The 20288-nt window shown below is 50.7% G+C and overlaps 4 annotated features.

Moving 5' to 3' along the window:
• Positions 535-1034: an enhancer, noted in NCBI's record as "H3K27ac hESC enhancer chr16:14487195-14487694 (GRCh37/hg19 assembly coordinates)". NCBI's record gives its function as "activates a minimal SCP1, AML or CMV promoter by ChIP-STARR-seq in primed H9 embryonic stem cells {active_cell/tissue: H9 hESC(primed)}" and the evidence as "EXISTENCE:reporter gene assay evidence [ECO:0000049][PMID:30033119]".
• Positions 12897-13398: an enhancer, noted in NCBI's record as "H3K4me1 hESC enhancer chr16:14499557-14500058 (GRCh37/hg19 assembly coordinates)". NCBI's record gives its function as "activates a minimal SCP1, AML or CMV promoter by ChIP-STARR-seq in primed H9 embryonic stem cells {active_cell/tissue: H9 hESC(primed)}" and the evidence as "EXISTENCE:reporter gene assay evidence [ECO:0000049][PMID:30033119]".
• Positions 12923-13122: a silencer, noted in NCBI's record as "silent region_7233". NCBI's record gives its function as "represses an Ori minimal core promoter by ATAC-STARR-seq in GM12878 lymphoblastoid cells {active_cell/tissue: GM12878}" and the evidence as "EXISTENCE:reporter gene assay evidence [ECO:0000049][PMID:35858748]".
• Positions 13853-13932: an enhancer, noted in NCBI's record as "active region_10498". NCBI's record gives its function as "activates an Ori minimal core promoter by ATAC-STARR-seq in GM12878 lymphoblastoid cells {active_cell/tissue: GM12878}" and the evidence as "EXISTENCE:reporter gene assay evidence [ECO:0000049][PMID:35858748]".

A 20288-nucleotide genomic window follows, 5' to 3' on the forward strand; every position in this document is an offset into this window, starting at 1 on the left:
AGTGATACTGGCTTGTCACTGATGGTGATGGAAAGCCTCCTCTGTAAACAAGTTTACTGTAAGAAGAATGGGGCCGGGGGTCAGCTGAAAGGAGAGCAAGCAGCACCTATGGTGGGGACATGGTGGTGCAGGAGGCTGAGGAGGGACTGCAGTTTGGAATCCCCGTACCTGAGGGGCGAGGCAGCAGTGTTCACATACAGAAGCAGAACCCAGCTTAACCAAGGCCCAAGTTTTGGGAAAGAGTGGGCAGAGCAGAGCAAATTCTGAATGAGGAGTCAGAGGCTGTGGGATCCCATTCTGGGCCCTGGTGAACTCCCCATGGTACAGGCCCCAACCTCAACAGCTGGTCCTCAGGGCGGCTAAGTCAGGAGTGCCCTCGGCCACAAGTCACAGGAAATCCACCTGGCAGTGACTTAAAGCTGCAGACAGTGGCCATATTTGACACGAAGGTTGGAAGTTAGCACTGCAGCTCTTTGGCATCAAGGATCCAAGTTCTGGCTGCGCAGTGGCTGACACCTGTAATCCCAACACCTTGGGAAGCCAAGGTGAGAGGCTCCCTTAAGCCCAGGAGTTCAAGACCACCCTGGGCAACATAGCAAGATCCTGTCTCCACAAAAATAAATTTTTTTAAAAAGCATCCAGGTTCCTCCTGTCTTCTCAGTCTGCCACCCTTGTGTGTTTGCTTTCCATCTCCAGCCTGAATGCTGTCACATCCTAGTTCAAGGCAAAAAGAGACGGAAGAAGTGTCTATCCCTTGCATTGGCCAGAGCTGGATCACATGGCCACTTCTCTTTTGAGACAGGGTCTCCCTCTGTCACCCAGGCTGGAGTACAGTGGCACGATCTCAGCTCACTCCAACCTCTGCCTCCCGAGTTCAAGCAATTCTCCTGCCTCAGCCTCCTGAGTAGTTGGGATTACAGGCATGTGCCACCATACCCGGCTAATTTTTTTTTTTTTTTTTTTTTTTTTGGTAGAGACAGGGTTTCATCATGTTGCTCAGGCTGGTCTCAAACTCCTGACCTCAAATGCTCTGCCCACCTCGGCTTCTCAAAGTGCTGGAATTACAGGCGTGAGCCACGATGCCCAGCCCACATGTCCACTTCTTTTTCTTTTTTTTTTTTTTTGAGACGGAGTCTCGCTCTGGTGCCCAGGCTGGAGTGCAGTGGTGTGATCTCGGCTCACTGCAAGCTCCGCCTCCCGGGTTCAAGCCATTCTCCTGCCTCAGCCTGCCGAGTAGCTGGGACTACAGGCGCCCTCCACCACGCCTGGCTAATTTTTTGTATTTTTGGTAGAGACGGGGTTTCACCGTGTTAGTCAGGATGGTCTTGACCTCCTGACCTCGAGATCCAGCCACCTTGGCCTCCCAAAGTGCTGGGATTACAGGCGTGAGCCACCGCACCCGGCCAACTGCTTCTAACTACAAGAGAAGCTGAGATACTAATGTCCAGGAAAGGGAAAGGGATTGCCACAATGGGGCCAGAACCCTTGTGACGTGGCCCCTGGAGCTGGGCACATGTGGTTCCTCCCTTCTTGGTAGCACTCATCACAGTTGCAATCTGGTCTTCATGTGGACCTGTGGTTGTTCGGTGTTTGTCTCCCATGGACTAGGAGCCCCTTGAGGGCAGGACCTGCTTGTAGATTGTCCTCCATGTCCCAAGTCCTGGATCTGGCACACACAGGGTACTCAGATCACAGATTAACTGAATAAATGAACAAGTGAATGATCTAAAGAAGTCTCCTTCTTGGCCGGTGCAGTGGCTCACACCTGTAATCCCAGAACTTTGGGAGGCCGAGGCGGGCAGATCACTTGAGGTCAGGAGTTGGAAACCAGCCTGGCCAACACGGTAAAACCCCACCTCTACTAAAAATACAAAAATTAGCTGGGCGTGGTGGTACATGTGTATAGTCCCAATTACCTGGGAGGCTGAGTTGGGAGCATTGATTGAGCCCACATGTTCAAGGCTGCAGTGAGCTAGATCATGCCTCAGCAGTTCAGCCTGGGTGATAGAGACTATCTATTAAAAAAAGAAAAAAAAAAGACAAAATGAAGCAAAACAAAAACTCTCCCCACAGTCATCTTCCACGGTGTGGTGGCCTTTGAATCCACACAAGCCTGGGTCCAATCACTGCTCAAAATACACCAGCCTATTAACAACACTCTATGCCAGGCCTGTACCAGGGGTGTTGTGTGCGTGGTGTCTGGTTGCCCAGGTTCGAGTTTTATGTGCTGGCTGTGTGATGATAGGCAGGTTACTTAACCTCTCTGTGTCTTATCTGTAACACAGGGATAATAACAGTACCAAACTCATAGAACCCTTGTGAGGATTAAGTGAGATAAGGCCTTGAAGAGCTTAGCTCAGACAGGCACAAAGCAAGTTCTCAAAAGTGGCATAGATTTTTCTTTTCTTTTTCTTTTTTTTTTTTTTTTTTTTTTTGAGATGGAGTCTCGCTCTGTCACCCAGGCGGGAGTACAGTGGCACAATCTCGGCTCACTGCAAGCTCCACCTCCCAGGTTCATGCCATTCTCCTGCCTCAGCCTGCCGAGTAGCTGGGATTACAGGCGCCCTCCACCACGCCCGGCTAATTTTTTTATTATTTTTAGTAGAGACGGGGTTTCACTGTGTTAACCAGGATGATCTCGATCTCCGGACCTCGTGATCCACCTGCCTCAGCCTCCCAAAGTGCTGGGATTACATGCGTGAGCCACTGCACCCGGCCTTAGAGTTTTCTTATTTGGGCCAGCACAGTGGCTCACGCCTGTAATCCCAGCACTTTAGGAGGCCGAGGCTGGCAGATTACCTGAGGTCAGGAGTTCGAGACAAGCCTGGCCAACATGGTAAAACCCTGTCTCTACTAAAAATACAAAAAAATTAGCCAGGCGTGGTGGCAGGTGCCTGTAATCCCAGTTTCTTGGAAGGCTGAGGCAGGAGAATTGCTTGAATCTGGGATGCAGAGGTTGCAGTGAGCCAGGACTGCACCATTGCACTCCAGCCTGGGCGACAAGAACAAAACTCCATCTCAAAAAAAAAAAGATTTTTCTTATATGTAGAAAAAATCCAAATCACCTTTCCATAGGGTGCTTTCAGCTAATGACTGAGCACAAATTTTTACAGACACAGACTCAATCCCCATTATTTGTGGATTCTGCATTTGCAAGTTCACCTACTTATTAGAATGTATTTGTAACCTCAAAAATCAACACTCGAGGTACTTTCAAGGTCATTCACAGACATGTGCAAGTGGCAAAAAAATTTCCACTGTCTGAGGGGCATGTTCCCAGCTGAGGTTTCAGAAGATCTCACACTGCCTTCCGATCTCAGCTCTCACATCGCAAACAAGTATCCTTTTCATGGTCTACTTAGTGCCAAATTTTTCCCATTTTTGTGCTTTCTGCGGTCGTGTCGATGTTAAGAATGACCCCCGTGTGCAGTGAGAGCAAGGCAGGAGTGACTACGTTACAGAGAAAACACATGTGTTAGAGAGGGTTTGTTCAGGCATGCGTTAGTGCTGTTGCCTATGGACATGTATGTGTTTAATTATTTTTCTTTTCTATTTTTTTTTTTTTTTTGAGACAGAGTCTCACTCTGTTGCCCAGGCTGGGGTGCAGTGGTGTGATCTCGGCTCACTGCAAGCTCCACCTCCCGGGTTCACGCTATTCTCCTGCCTCGGCCTCCAGAGTAGCTGGGACCACAGGCGCCCGCCACCATGCCCGGCTAATTTTTTGTGTTTTTAGTAGAGACGGGGTTTCACTGTGTAAGTTAGCCAGGATGGTCTCGATCTCCTGACCTCGTGATCCGCCCGCCTCAGCCTCCCAAAGTGCTGGGATTACAGGCATGAGCCACTGCGCCTGGCCTATTTTTCTTTTTGACAGAGTCTCACTCTGTCGCCAGGCTGGAGTACAGCAGCACAATCTCGGCTCACTGCAACCTCTGCCTCCCGGGTTCAAGCGATTATCGTGCCTCAGCCTCCCGAGTAGCTGGGATTACAGGCACGCGCCACCACTCCCAGCTAATTTTTGTATTTTTAGTAGAGATGAGGTTTCACTGTGTTGGCCAGGCTGGTCTCAAACTCCTGAGCTCAAGCCATCTGCCCACCTCAGCCTCCCAAAATACTGGGATTACAGGCATGAGCCACTGCGCCCAGCCAACATGTTCGATGTTAATGAATCACTTATATATTAAATAAAGTGTCTACAGAGAAACTCATAAAACCAGGTTAGGTATTGATCTGTTGATGAAAATGTGTGACCAGAGGTTTGTAAGAACTTAACCTGTATTTCTCCCTAGGAGCAATGGCTCCAGATCCGCTAATTCAGTGTTTGCAGAGACTTTACCACAAATAAGAATCCACTATGTGTAATGCGTGTCATCTACCATTCCTATTACGAAGGTGAGAAACAGGCTTGGAAGACTTCCCTGGCTTTCCAAGGTCATAAGGCTAGCTGTCCTCCGACATAGGACTTGAGCCCGAATCTGAGAATGATAGTTCCACAGCTCCTGCCCCAGAGTCCAGGTATCCGGAAGCACTGGTGGTGGGGTTGCTGCTTAACAGCTCTGCCGGGCTGCCTGCCCCACTCTCCAAACACCCATGTGGCAGTAAGGAGCCTCGTCTGTCCCCTGACCTGGCCACTGAACAGGTGCAGGCAGAAGGCAGGGACATGGGTAGAGGGGCAGGCAGGCATGAGATAAGACCACCTTATCCAAGACCATCTGCTAGAGATACAGGGGCAGAAAAGAGCCCAGCAGGTTTCTGGCCACCCTGTTGCTGATTACAGAGGGTGACTCATGGTCAAGGGAGGCACAGAGAGGGTAGGGTCTGAACCCTACCCTGCACCTGCTAGCTGTGACCTCAAGCAAGTCCCTGGATGCCCCAGTCTCTGTTAACTTATCTGTGAGACTGGTGCTAACTCCACCTCTTTTTTTTTTTTTTTTTTTTGAGATGGAGTCTTACTCTGTCGCCCAGGGTGGAGTGCAATGGCGCAATCTCGGCTCACTGCAACCTCCGCCTCCGGGATTCAAGTGATTCTCCTGCCTCAGCCTCCCAAGTAGCTGGGATTACAGGTGCCCGCCACCATGCCCAGCTAATTTTTGTATTTTTAGTAGAGACAGGGTTTCACCATGTTGGCCAGGATGGTCTCGATCTCTTGACCTCGTGATCCACCCGCCTTGGCCTCCCAAAGTGCTGGGATTACAGGCGTGAGCCACCGCTCCCAGCCTAACTCCACCTCTTAGAAGAGCCAAAAGGCACACCTGAGAGAGTTCATCTTGAATTTAGGTGGTTGAGCAAGCACAGCGATTTACTTGAGCCCACGAGCAACCTCTGTGAGAGATGTGAGCCTCATCCCCGTCCATTTCACAGACCAGGAAGCCGGGGCTCAGCACTGGTGCCCACAACGAGCCAGGCCCTCCCCACTGCCCTGCACCTTCCTCCTGGACTGTCGTGTGAGCACGGGGTGGGGGTGAGACAGTGGGGTACCTAGACCCCTGGAGGACAAGGAGGAAGACCAGAGGGGGCCCTGGTCTCTGTCACAACCCCCCCCTCTATTGCCAGTTTCTCACTAAAGTGAAGATACACAAGACTAGGCACAGCGTTGGGTCTGTTCATTCTGCAGATTCTACAAACATTCATCCATCACCCGCTATGGACCAAGCACTAGGTTGAACCAAGTGATACACGGATGCTGGTGCCAAAAAGGTAACAGTACAACATGACTCAGAAAGAGCTACATGTGGGGGCTTGTGAGGCCAAATGCGAACACATCTTCAAGGAACACAGAGCACTGTAGCAGTTTCACTGGCAGAACCAGCACATTGCCTTGGAGGCCACAGTCCATAGGGCCATCAGGGGTCCCAAAGTCACATAGCAGAGGGCAAATGAGGGGAACCAGGGTGTGGAGGAAGGCATCTTCCAGAAGAAGGGTCAACAAATTATAGCCCACAGGCCAAATCTAGCTGCTCCTTGATTTTTTTTTTTTTTTTTTTTTTTTTTTTTGAGACAGAGTCTCGCTCTGTCACCCAGGCTGGAGTGCAGTGGCACAGTCTCCACTCACTGCAAGCTCCACCTCCTGGGTTCACGCCATTGTCCTGCCTCAGCCTCCCAAGTAGCTGGGACTACAGGTGCCCGCTACCACGCCCAGCTAATTATTTGTATTTTTAGTAGAGATGGGGTTTCACTGTGTTAGCCAGGATGGTCTTGATCTCCTGACCTCGTGATCCGCCCGCCTTGGCCTCCCAAAGTGCTGGGATTACAGGCGTGAGCCACCGCACCCGGCCTGATTTTGTAAATAAAGTTTTATTGGCACACAGCCATACCCCCTCATTTACATATTGCATACGGCTGCCTTCCAGCTACAGCTGCAGCCTTAAGAGTTGTCATGGCCCACGAGGCTTAAAATATTTACTATGTGGCCCTTTATGGAGAAAGTATGCCCACACCTGTTCTGGAAGATCAGTTGCATGAGGTTAGAACTTTGTCAGTTTCATGCTCTGCCATCTCCCAAGCACCCGTCACAGTGCCCAGTCCAGAGCAGATGCTTATAAAGTGATGGGAGGCTGCTTGTATCACATTCTAATTCTGTGACCATGAGCTAGTTAAGTACTTATTCGAAAATGCATCCTCCGATCAAGTGGGAAGGAGTCCAGCCCCACCTCCAGCCCTTGACAACACAATGGAGAATAAGGAGGCGCAGCCCTGTACCCCTTTCTGGTCTCCTGGCCCCCGGGTAGCTCATCTCCTGCCCTGCCCTTGGTGTCCTGGGGCTGCCCTGCAAGCCTAGCCAGGCCTGTGAATCATCAGGACTGACTCACTGTCTAAAAATACATATTGTCTCATGTTGGCGGGTGCTGCTTTGATCACTGTTTGCACTCAATCTAGTCTTTTTCTGCTTGACTTTGAGGTCTTTGTGCGCAAGGTCTGGGTTTTCGCCACTCTGAGTCCCCAGGGCCAGGTTCCTGTTGCAGCCTGGAGCCGGAAAAGAATCTGGGAGGAAGAGGTTGGGTGTTGGGGCCAGCAGACTAGGGGACGACAGATCCTGCCCTGCCACTCATTTGCTGTGCAACTCTCAGCAAAGCACCCAACCTCTCCGAGCCCTCGCTTCCCCATCTGTGAAGTGGGGATCATAAGGCCCATCCTGCAAGGTGGTTTCCGCGGTGAAAATAGAAAACGAGGCCTGTTCCTACAGCCTGTGTGTCTTGGGAGGAACTGCTCATCATCTGTGATCCTTTTTTACCTGATTACGGGAAAGGGGAGTGATCTGCTCACTGACCCCCGGCTGGGCTTTTCCCTGCCAGTGAAATCATTTGAAATTGTCCAAGGAAATCAGGAACCTGAGCCGACGCAGAGTCACCGAGCTTGGTGCCAAGCACTGGGGGAGCTCCAGTTACAGAAAACAAGTGGAATCCACAGGCCCCGGGCTGAACGTGGAACTAATTTGGGAGGCAATGAGAAAGAGCGGAACATAACGCGGAGCCCGGGAGGCAGGTCTGCCCTGAGTCAGGACGCCATCCGGGGGGGTATCTGGGGCCCCTTGAAATTTTCAAGGTCCTGCTTCTGAAGTGGGGAGAGCCGGGACATGATGGGGACCCACTTCGGAATCTCAGGATGGCTGTGCAGAGACTCAGGGCACGGGCCTGGGGTCGGAGCAACTGCAATCACATCCTGACTTGCCCCCTCGATGCTGTGTGACCCGGGGCCTGTCGCTTCACCTCTCTGAGCCTCAGCTGCCGCATCTGTGAATGTACGATCTAGGGATCCCTCCCTCAGAGGGCTGCTTCATAGAAGGCTCAGTACCATGCCAGGCACGTAAGCCACTCTCAGGAAATCAGACATGTCGAGACATGACATCGGGGGTTGGGGGCAGCATTAGAGGAGCAAAGACCAGTAACGTCTCCCCCATTCATCTGTTCGTTCAGCAGATACTTAAGAACATGCAACCTGTGCCAGACTGAGGAACACAGGAGGGAACAAGACAGACCTAGCCCCACGCAAAAGGAAACAAATAGTGTGTACCTAATTGCAATCATCGTTTGAAGGATAAGAACAGGGTGCTTGGATAAAAAAATAACTGGGGCGGGCTAGGCATGGTGGCTCACGCCTGTAATCCCAGGACTTTGGGAGGCCGAGGTGGGCGGATCACCTGAGGTCAGGAGCTCGAGACCAGCCTGGCCAACATAGAAAAACCCCATCTCTACTAAAAGATACAAAAATTAGCCAGGCATGGTGGTGGGCACCTGTAGTCCCAGCTACTGGGGAGGCCAAGGTGGGAGGATCGCTTGAACCTGGGAGGTGGAGGTTGCAGTGAGCTGAGACCGTGCCACTGCACTCCAGCCTGGGCAACAGAGTGAGACTCCGTCTCAAAAAAAAAAAAGAAAAGAAAAAGTAAAAGTAAAGAGACAATGCACCCAAAATTTGGATAGATGGAAGGATAGAGGGATGGATATGTGATCACTCAAATTTAGTAAAATGTTAGTGAGTTGATGTTGCTGTTTCAAAATTTTCATAATAAAATGTTGGGGGAAAGTAACAAAACCAAGAAGAAAAAGAGGTAGAAACAAATTCTTTAACAGCTCTCTTTTCCTACGGAACACTGTCCAGGTGCTTAGCCGGGCAGCCAACACACAAATCCTTGCCTCACGCCCCAAACTCACTCTAAGTGTGTAGCCCTGGGCACACCCTCAAACCTCTCCGAGGCTGCAGTCCTGGTCTCGTAGGAAGTGAGAGGCCATCCTCCGGGAGAGGCAAGGCTGAGATGCACACAGTTGTTTTCAGAGCAGCAAGGCCACTTCGGCAACACCCAGAGCTTAGGGAGGACGTGGTCAACCAGCCTTTACTGGGGCCTGGGAGACTCCCCACTGACACAAACTCCCTTCTGGTTTGCACTGGGGACGTTCAGTCCCTTGGGTTATGCATTCACTGGTCCAATAGATATTTTCTGTGTGCCAGGCCCTGCACGGGGCACTGTAGTGTGAAGTCTGTCAGGTTCTTCCCTTTAAAGAACACCCCCAAGACACAGACAGATCCAATCCAGTGAGACACACACTCCGAGGGAGCCAACTCCAGCCTGGATAGACGCCAAGCCCCACAGCCAGGCTTCAGACTGACTCCCGCCTCAGTCCGGAACCTCAGCACAGGAAGGACCCTCGTGTCAGGATATCCAGGCCCCGCCCCAGCCCAATGGCCCCTGCCCCTCCTCTATGAACTAGCTTGAGCTCCCCGCCCTCTGGGGACAGAAGCCCCCCAGTGAGTCTGCTGCAGTCACAACAAAAGGTAATGGGGGCCAGGCGCGGTGGTTCACGCCTGTAATCCCAGCACTTTGAGGTTAAGGCGGGCTTATCACTAGAGGTCAGGAGTTTGAGACCAGCCTGGCCAACATGGTGAAACCCCATCTCTACTGAAAAAACAAAAATTAGCCGGCAGTGGTGGCGTGCACCTGTGATCCCAGCTACTCAGAGGCAGGAGAATCGCTTGGACCCAGGAGGCGGAGGTTGCAGTGAGCCGAGATCACACCACTGCACCCCAGCCTGGGTGAGAGAGGGAGACTCCGTCCCTAAAAAACGCAATGGGGTTGTGGTGTCCACTTGGGAAGAGCTGGGGAGGCAAAGGGAATAGGAATGATCTACTCCCCTGCCAGCCAGGCTGAGGCTGTGATCCAGCACAGATGACCCGAGTCAGGACAGCTTAGAGGGTCCCACCCAGTTTAGAGATCACATTCTCCAATTTGGCCAGAATTACACCTGCGTCCTCCAGCGAGGCATGGACCCAGAAATTATGCTTAGGGTCTCCTTCCAGCTTCACGACAGCCTCAGGAGGTAGATGCTGTCATGACCCCCACTTTGTAGGCGGGGAAACTAAAGTTCAGAGAAGTCACATAACTTGCCCAAGGTCACACACAGCCAGCCATGGCCACTGCCTTTACTTAAACAAGAGCAACAACAATCATGACAGCTGGAGTCACTTTAAGTGCATTATCTCATTTGACCAGAAGTAGGAAAACTTCTTGTCTCCATTTTACAGAGCAGAAAACTCAAGTTCAGAGAGACTCAGTAACTTGCCTGAAACAACTGAATAGGAAGATGGCAGAGCCAGCCTACGACAAACAGGATAACAGTAAGAATGGCAGCTATATTCATTCTGTATTGCTGCTCCAACAAGCTTCCACGAACTTAGTGACTTAAAAAAAGATACATTTATTCTCTTACCGTTCCAGAGGTCCGACGTCTAAAATCAAGGTGTCAGTAGAGCTTGGTTCCTCCAGGGGGTTCTGAGGGAGAATCTGAGTCCTTGTCTTTTCCAGATGCTACAGGACCCCTACAAAGCAGGTGGCTCCACCTTCAAAGCATGCATTCCACCCTCTGCTTCCAGCCTCACATGTCACGTTTCTTCTTGCCCCACCCACCGCCTCTTATAAGGACCACTGTGGGCCAGGTGTGGTGACTCATGCCTGTAATCCCAGCACTTTGAGAGGCCGAGGCCACCTGAGGTCAGGAGTTCGAGACCAGCCTGGGCAACATGGTGACATCCCATCTCTACTAAAAATACAAAAAGTAGCTGGGCATGGTGGTGCACGCCTGTAATTCCAGCTACTCGGGAGGCTGAGGCAGGAGAATCGCTTGAACCCAGGAGGCAGAGGTTGCAGTGAGCCGAGATCAAGCCTGCACTCCAGCCTGGGCAACAGAGTGAGACTCTGTCTCAAAAAAAAAAAAAAAAAAAAAAAAAAAAGACCCTTGTGATTACATCATTTGGCCCCTCAGGGATAATCCAGGTGAATTCCTTCATCTCAGGAGCCTTAATTTGACCACACCTGCAAAGCCCCTTTTACCATGTAAATTAGCACTTTCACGGGTTCTGGGGATTAGGATGTGGACCTCTTTGGGGGACCATGAGTCCATCCACCACATTAGCTAATATTCATGGAGCTCTTGCTAAGTGTCAGGCCTGTGCTGAGCATTCTGCATCATTTTAGACCTGCACAACTCACACTTTTTAAAATTCTGTATTTACATAAATTTATGGGGTACAAATACAATTTCATTACATGCGTAGATTGTGTAATAGTCAGGTCAGGGCTTTTAGGATCTCCATCATCCCGATCACATACATTGTACCCATTCAGTGATTTCTTTTTGTTGTTGTTGCTGCTGTGTTTTTTTGAGACAGAGTCTCGCTCTGTCACCAGGCTAGAGTGCAGGCTCGATCTCGGCTGACTGCAACCTCCACCTCCAGGGTTCAAGCTATTCTCCTGCCTCAGCCTCCTTTGTAGCTGGGATTACAGGCGCCCACCACCATGCCCGGCTAATTTTTGTACTGTTAGTAGAGACGGGGTTTCGCCATGTTGGCCAGGCTGGTCTCGAACTCCTGACCTCAGGTGATCCGCCTGCCTCAGCCTCCTGAAGTGCTGGGATTACAGGCATGGGCCACCGCACCAAGCCTATTTTTGTTTTTTTAAACAGGTTCTCACTTTGTCACCTAGGATGAAGTACAGTGGTGCAATCATGGCTCACTGCAGTCTCTATCTCCCAGGCTCAAACGATCCTCCCATCTCAGCTTCCTGAGTAGCAGGGACTACAGGTTGGTGCCACCATGCCCAGCTAATATTTTGCAATTTTTGTAGAGATGGGGTCTTGCCATGTTGCCCAGGCTGGTCTTGAACTCCTGGGCTCAAGTGATCCTCCTGCTTCGGCCTCCCAAAGTGCTAAGATTACAGGTGTGAGCCACCTCACCTGGCAGCCATTAAACTATTTCTTATGATTCACAGCGGTGGATGAACTGCCAAAATTCACGTTCACTCTTCTGAATCTCCATTATTTATTATTCCACTCTCTGTGGAGCCATGTGTATGCATTTTTTAGCACCCACTTGGGAGTGAGAACATGCAATATTTGTCTTTCTGTATCTGGCTTATTTCACTTAAGATAATGACCTCTAGTTCCATGCGTGTTGCTACAAAAACATCTCACACTTTAATGTACACACAGATCACCTGGGGGTCTTGCTAAAATACAGATTCTGGTTCAGTAGGTCTGGATTTCTAACAGATGTCCAGGTGATACTGAGCTATTGTTCCAGAGACCACTCTTTTTTATTTTATTTTAATTTTATTATTTTTGAGACAAAGTTTCACTCTTGTTGCCCAGGCTGGAGTGCAGTAGCGCCATCTCGGCTCACTGCAACCTCCACCTCCCGGGTTCAAGCGATTCTCCTGCCTCAGCCTCCCAAGTAGCTGGGATTACAGGTGCCCACAACCATGGCGGCTAATTTTTGTATTTTTAGTAGAGACAGGGTTTCCCCATGTTGGCCAGGGCGGTCTTGAACTCCTGACCTCAGGTGATCCACCCACCTTGGCCTCCCAAAATGCTGGGATTACAGGCTTGAGCCACCGCGCCCAGCCCTCAATTTTTTTTTTCATAAAATAAAAATCAAAATGCAAAAATCATTCTTAGTTTAACGTCCATGCAAAAATAGACGGTCAACCAGATCTGGCCTGTGAGCCACAGGATGCGGACCCTTGTTCTACAATGTCAGTTCCAGGAGGGCATGTCTGTCTGTCTGTCTGATTATGTTTCCTGAAGTATCACTTGCGTCTAAAACAGTGCCTGGCATCTAGTAGCTGCTCAAAAAATATTTGCTGAATGAAAGAGCAATTCCTCTTGTTTAATTCTTACAACTGCTTTACCAAGGGGTTACATATATGAATATTGTGTACAGAGGAAGAAATGATGAGAGTAATGTCTCTGGATTTATCGACGGGAAAACAGGCATAGAGATGGCATGTTCCAGCCTGTGCAGCTGGTCTCCTAGAGGAAGCAAAAGCACTGCGATCCTCCTCAGCAGTTCGAGAACCTCCTCCCCAACAGATCGCCCCGTCCCCAGGCGGCTCCAGGCCCCGACCCTGAAGCTTGAGACCCCACCCCCAGAAAGCTCGAGGCCCCGCCCCTTAGGCATGAGGCCCCGCCCCCAGCCGGCCGGAGGCTCCGTCCCCAGACAGCTTGAGGCCCCGCCCCCAAAGAGCCTGAGGCCCCACCCCCAGGCGGCTCGGGGCCCCGCCCCTGCAGCCCGAGGCCCCGCCTCCAAGGGGCTCGAGTCCTCACTGGACCAAGCGACACAGAACTGGGTGCGTCCCCAGCACAGCAGGTCCGGGACCCCTCACGCCAGCCACATCTCGGGCCAGGCCTCGCGGAACTCTCACTGGCAATAAAAAGCAGCCATACGTTCTCTCCTATGTTTGTTGGAAGCAACAAACAGCCCGGCCCAGCCAGCTTGGGCAACCAGGCCTCACTCCACAAGGCGGGGCGCAGGTCAGGGGACACTGTCGAGGATGTTTCCAAAGCCCGGCAGGTCAGGGCCTGGCACACAGATCCCCTTCAGGGGCCAGTCTGGTAACATAGACATGTGAAACGGGTGGAGTTGAAACCACAGGCGCCAAATGGCCGCTACTGCCACAGGCAGTGACACCTGTCCAGTTTCGGGGCTTTTTAAAGCCCTCTGTGGCTGAGGCAACGCGTCAGAGAGACCCACGTGGCTGAAAGCTTGTTGGTTTCACAGAGGGCGCCTCCCACTTCATGGCCTTTGCCCATGCTGTCCCCTCAGCCTGTGATGTTCTTCTTGCAAAACCATTCTTAGTTCCTAATCCCTGCAAAAACACTTGGCCAACAAGATCTGGGCCGTGAGCTGCGTGTGCAGAACCCTGTCGGCCCCATTAGCTAACTCCTTCTCTGACTTCAAGTCTCAGAGAATTCTTCCCCAACACAGGCACCCCGCACCTCCCTTGTCACAGGGCAATTTCACATTTGTTTGCTTACTTGATCAGTGTCTGTCTACCCTTGTATTCCTTTCCCAGGGCTACAGTAACAAATTATCATAAAGCTTAAAACCACAGAATGTATTGTCTCACAGTTGCGGGGAACAGAAGTCCAAAACCAAGGTGTTGGCAGGGTTGGCTCCTTCTGGAGGTTCCCAGGGAGAATCAGATCCATGCCCATCTCCTGGCTGATGGTGACTCCTTGGCTGGTGGCAGCATCACTGCAATCTCTGCCTTTCTCATCACACAGCACTCTCCCTGTATGCATCTGTGTGCCAGGGTCCCTCTTCGTATAAGAACCCCAGTCGTGCCATATAGAGGGCCCATCCTAAAACAGTATGACTTCATCTTATCTTGACAACATCTGCAAAGACTCCATTTCCAAATAAGGTCATATTTGCAGGTTCCAGGTGGATGTGAATTTTCAGAGGACACTGTGCAACCCAGGAGAGCCCCCAAGTGTGGGGGGTCCACTTACACTGTGCCTGGAAGGTGGGGACCCCCTTGCTGAAACCCTTCACTCACTTGCCACCAGTACCCTGGCCTGATCTCTGCTGGGGTGAGAGGGTGACTGTGAACAAGACGGGGAGGAGAGATGGTCCAGGAGTGCACTGGCCAGGGCGGGAGCTGGTGGTGAGGGCACAGTGGGTACTTGATGTCTCAGTCTGTGTGGCCTCCTTTCCTCCTCTGCTTGATGACAGGGCCCAGAGTTTTCTCTGAAGCTTTGCTCCTCCCCAACTCTTGGTTCACGGGGTTTGGGTAGAGATGATGCCATTCCTAGGTCTGGAGATGGCCGTGTGTCCCAGGCCTGGCCAATCAAACAATGCTTCTACCTGACACAGTGACCGGTTCAGGACTGGACAGATGACCCAGTCATTGCCAACGAAGTCTCGTTCTGTTGCCCAGACTGGAGTACAATGACGTGATCTCGTCTCACTGCAACTTCCGCCTGCCAGGTTCAAGTGATTCTCCTGCCTCAGCCTTGCAAGTAGCTGGGATTACAGGCACGTGCCACCACACCCAGCTAATTTTCATGGTTTTTTTTTTTGTTTTGTTTTGTTTTTTTTTAAGTAGAGACAGGGTTTCACTGTGTTGGCCAGGCTGGTCTCGAACTCCTGACCTCAAGTGATCCACCCACCTCGGCCACCCAAAGTGCTGGGATTACAGGTGTGAGCACCAAGCCCGGCCTCAACTTGGGCTTCTGATGGAACTTATCCTTAAGTAGCTGAGCCCGTGGCTATAAGCCTCTTGTCCTGGGCAGCCACCTTGCCACTATGAGGAGGGAACCAGTGCTTGAATGAAACCCCTGCAGAGAAAACTGAAACCAACAGCCAGGAGAGGGACTCCCGATGCCACATGTGAGTGCCTGGATCCAGCCATTCCTGAAGCCACATGTATGCCTACACTTTTTGGTTACATGGCCCAGTGAGTACCCTTTTTGCTTAAGCCAGTTTGAGTTGGTTTTCTGTCAGAGATAACAGAGTGAAGTGACATGTAGTGTGAAAGCCACATTGGATCCCAGGACTGTTATGGAAACTGAGGTTTGCTGTGGCTGGGCCACTTTCATTGAGGTCACAGCTCTGACTTGGCAGCAGGCACTGAACTACACAAAGCAGGATTCCTGTTTAATGGGAGATAAGGAACAATTACAGTGTCAAGAGGTGAGGCCAGTTTGAGCATTTCAGTCCCCAAGCATACCCAGGAGGGCTAGACTCAAGAAGAGAAACTTTAGGATGGCTCTAGATGCCAGAGGGAAGGGTTTGGGGTGAGGTGGGGAGATGGAAGTGGAGGTGCTGATCTGGGTACCGTCCCCAAGGCTGAGAAGGAGCCTGGGACTTGGCAGAGTCCCAAGAAGAGACAGGGGGTATGAGGGCCCTTGGTACTAAAAACAGAACCAGGCACAGTGGGTCATGCCTGTAATCACAGCACTTTGGGAGGCCGAGGCAGAAGAATCGCTTGAGGCCAGGAGTTTGAGACCAGCCTGGGCAACATAGCAAGACCCTGTCTTTACAGAAAATTAAAAATTAAAAATATAAAAATTAGCCAGGTGTGATGGTGCACGCTTGTAGTCCCAGCTACTCAGGAGGCTGAGGTAGGAGGATTGTTTGTACCCAGGAGTTTGAGGTTGCAGTGAGCTATGATCGAACCACTGCACTCTGGCCTGAGCAACAGAGCCAGACTCTGTCTCTACAAAAAAAAAAAAAAAAAAAAAAAAAAACAACTAAGAATAAGGCTCTTTCTGGCTGCTAGGAAGGGCCCCGGTCCCTAAGCTTGGCTCATGAGCAGTGGAGCTGCCACCTTTGAGGGCTCCTGGAGCTTGGAGTCAGGGCACAGAGCAGGCCCAGTGTGGATTTGAGCCTGGAGGGCCTTTCCACACATACCTGACCCAATATGCTCCTGAGACCTTCTCCCAGCTCTGGGGAGCAATGGCAGGGAGCCCTGGTATTAAATAATTGTGGCTAGGTCCAAGCATGGTGGCTCACGCCTGTAATCCTAGCATTTTGGGAGGCTGAGGCAGGTGGATCGCTTGAGGCCAGGAGTTCGAGACCAGCCTGGACAACGTGATGAAACTCCATCTCTACTAAAAATACAAAAATTAGGTGTGGTGGTGCACAGCTGTAATCCCAGCTACTCAGGAGGCTGAGACAGGAGAATTGCTTGAACCCAGGAGGCAGAGGTTACAGTGAGACGAGATCACACCACTGCACTCCAGCCTGGACGCCAGAGCAAGACTCCGTCTCAAAAATAAATAAGTAAATAAAATAAATGATTGTGGTTCACAACACATTCCATTTAATTTAGAAAAAAATAATGGATTATGGCTTAAAAAAAAAACAGAGTCTTGTTCTGTTGCTCAGGCTGGAGTGCAGTAGTATAATCATAGCTCACCACAGCCTTGAACTTCTGGGCTCAAGCAATCTCCCTGCCTCAGCCTCCCAAGTAGCTGGGACTATAGGTGCACACCAACACACCCTGCCTTTTTTTTTTTTTTTTTTTGGTAGGATGGGGGTCTTGCTACGTTGCCCAGGCGGGTCGGGAACTCCTCAAGCAATCCTCCTGCCTCGGCCTTCCAAAGTACTGGTATGATAGGCATGAGTCACTGCGCCTGGCTAGATTGTAATGTTTTTACAACCCATGTTTGTGGAGTGAAACTTATGTGTGTGATTAATGGTCAGGGATTCCACCAGGGAGACTGGGGGCCACTCCCCTGACAGCCTCTGGAAACCCCACCCCTAGACTGTCCTCAGCTACTCAGCTGCATCTCTTAACCCCTGCAAAGCACTTAGAGCAATGCCTTGTGTGTAGCAAGGTTGCATAAGAGCCTGCTCTTACTGCTGCTGTTTTCATTCCATCTAGCACTTTACAAGCTTCAGGCAAGAAGTCCTAGATTCATGAAACACCAGCATGTCCTCCTGGGAAGAAAAGGCTCTTGGAGAGCCGAGCTTATGACAGAAAAGAGACATCAACAAATTCTCCTCCTAATATTTCTTGATTGATTGATTGATTGAGACAGGGTCTCACTCTGTTGCCCAGGCTGGAGTGCAGTGGTGAGATCACAGCTCCCTGTAGCCTCAACTTCTCAGGCTCAAGCAATCCTCCTGCCTCAGCCTCCTGAGTAGCTGGAACCACAGACACCTACCACAATGCCTGGCTAATTTTAAAATTTCTTGTAGAGATGGGGTCTTGACACATTGCCCAGGCTGGTCTCAAACTCCTGAGTTCAAGCAGTCTGCCCATCTTAGCCTTCCAAAGCGCTGGCACTACAGGTGTGAGCCACGGCACCCGGCCTCTTCCTAATGCTTAAAGAGAAAAATGTAAAGATGCATCAGTGAGTCTCAGGACGCTTCCCATCACTAACCTCTCTCTCCTTGGGCCACTGACTTGCTGTCCAAACAGTGCACCCTGGTCATGATTCATGTGCGTTAGCCATATCCAATGGCTACCCAGCTCCTCCTGCAGTCTTGGAGCTGAGGCCTTCCCTTAGGAAGGGAAGGGACCCCTCTTCAGGGGTCCAGATTTTCCCTCCAGCTTCATAGCAAATCCCATGACCCACCAACAAATGACAGCAAGCCCACCCTCCCTCCCACCTGGATTCGCCCATCCAGCGTGAGACACCTGTCCACCCAAGTCCCTGCTAGCTTCCCATTGAGATTGACTCTCCCATTCAGAAAGCGTAAGAGAAGAGGATATTGATGGCTCCCTGCAAACACATGATCGCCGTGGAGATGGAGATGGGCAAGCATGCAGAGCAACGGGGCCGGAGACCTGGCTGAGGGAGGGGAAGCCATCCCGAAATGAATCCTGGAGTGGGTTGGGACCCTGCACGGATACACTGCGACCGATTGCTTGTGTGTAGGCAGCTTCAGCTCCAGGATTACAAGGCCACCAGATGAGGTCTGGAAAGGTGAGGGCTGTGTCGTTGCCGCCAGGTAAATATGGATTCCTGGGTCACAAAACCCAAATAGTAATGTTTCCTGTGGTGGACACTACCTGAAAGGACCCCGATGTTAGTAAACAGGCAACTATAATTCACTATATCTTCTGAGCATATCAAATTCCTAATAGAGAATATAATGGCAGAGTACCATGTTAAGAAAAGCAATCACAGGCCAGGTGTGGTGGCTCACACCTGTAATCCCAGCCCTTTGGGAGGCTGAGGTGGGAGAATCGCTTGAGGCCAGGAGTTTGAGACCAGCCTGGGCAACATAGCGAGACCCCCATCTCTACAAAAATTTAAAAATTAGCCAGGTGTGATGGTGTGCACCTGTGGTCCCAGCTACTTGGGAGGCTGAGGAAGGAGGATGGCTTGAGCCCAGAAGGTTGAAGCTGCAGTAAGCCATGATCACGCCATGGCACTCTATCCTGGATGACAGGGCAGGACACTGTCTCAAAAAAAGAAAAGAAAAAGAAAAACATCTAAGTACCATTTCCATAACTCTATTGCTAAGCTCAATGGTTATCAAATGCTTATCACAAAGATTCAACCTGGACACATACCCAGCTCCTGGCTGCTTCATAAATACTCCTGCTCCTTTTTTTTTTTTTTTTGAGACGGAGTCATGCTCTGTCGCCCAGGCTGGAGTGCAGTGGTGGCGATCTTGGCTCACTGCAACCTCTGCCTCCTGGGTTCAAGTGATTCTCCTGCCTCAGCCTCCCAAGTAGCTGGGATTACAGGAGTGAGCCACTGCGCCTGGCCCTGCTCTTTATCAGAATAAATGGATTCATGGCCTCCTTCACACTCTTCCCCCATCCAAAGCACCCCCCACACACTCACAGATGCGCTCACGCACACACGCACACACACAGTGTTGTCTACTCAGTGTGTTCTCCCAAAAAGAGAGGTGTTCAAACTCCGTGTGCCTCATTTTGTTGTGACAACTTTCTTTTACTTTTTATTTATTTATTTGGAGGCAGGGTCTCATTCTGTGGCCCAGGCTGGAATTCAGTGGAGTGATCTCAGATCACTGAAACTCGAACCCCTGGGCTCAACTAGTCTTCCCACTTGGGCCTCCCAAGTAGCTGGAACTACAGGCACATGCCTGCATGCCTGGCTAATTTTTAAAATTTTTAGTAGAGACGAGGTCTTGTCATGTCGCCCAGGCTGGTCTCAAACTCCTAGGCTCAAGCGATCACCCCACCTCGGCCTCCCAAAGTGCTGGGATTACAGGCATGAGCCACCATGCCCGCCCTGTAGTGACAACTTTCTAAACTCAATGCTCAGTCCTCCATAGCCCTCCAGTTCTTGCTGAACTTTTTTTTTTTTTAAATAGAGACAGGATCGCCCTATGTTGCCCAGGCCTGGAGTACAGTGGCCATTCACGAGCATAATCACCATGCTCTACAGCCTCGAACTGCTGGCCTCAAGTGAACCTCCTGCCTCAGCCTCCCAAGCAACTGGGATTACAGGTGTGCACCACCATGCCTGGCTACACTGGACTTTTTAAGTTAGATACTCACAGGGACATTAGCAATGAATCGACTTCACAAAGCTTCCTCATGGATAGAGTTCCTCTGCATTTTACAGTTAGGACCCAGGTCAGCTTCTGCAACTTCATGCTAAAAATTTATCAATGTCAATTTTTTAAACGTGCAAAAATATGTTAACACAGCATTAAACAAGAAGATAGGACACCACCTACGCATCCATTTTCCCCATATGCACTGATTTTAATGAAATTGCTGCTGTTTATGAAATACAAATGACTGGTAAATTTTTTTTTTTTTGAGACAGAGTCTTGCTCTGTTGCCCAGGCTGGAGTGCAGTGGCACCATCTCAGCTTACTGTAACCTCCATCTCCCGGGTTCAAGTCATCCTCCCCTCTCAGCCTCCTGAGTAGGTGAGATTACAGGCATGCACCACCACACCCGGCTAATGTTTGGTAGAGACGGGGTTTCTCCATGTTGGCCAGGCTGGTCTCGAACTTCTGACCTCAGGTGATCCACCCGCCTTGGCCTCCCAAAGTGCTGGAATTACAGGTGTGAGCCACTGCAC

Source organism: Homo sapiens, chromosome 16, assembly GCF_000001405.40.
Source record: "Homo sapiens chromosome 16, GRCh38.p14 Primary Assembly".
Taxonomy (NCBI): Eukaryota; Metazoa; Chordata; class Mammalia; order Primates; family Hominidae; genus Homo; species Homo sapiens.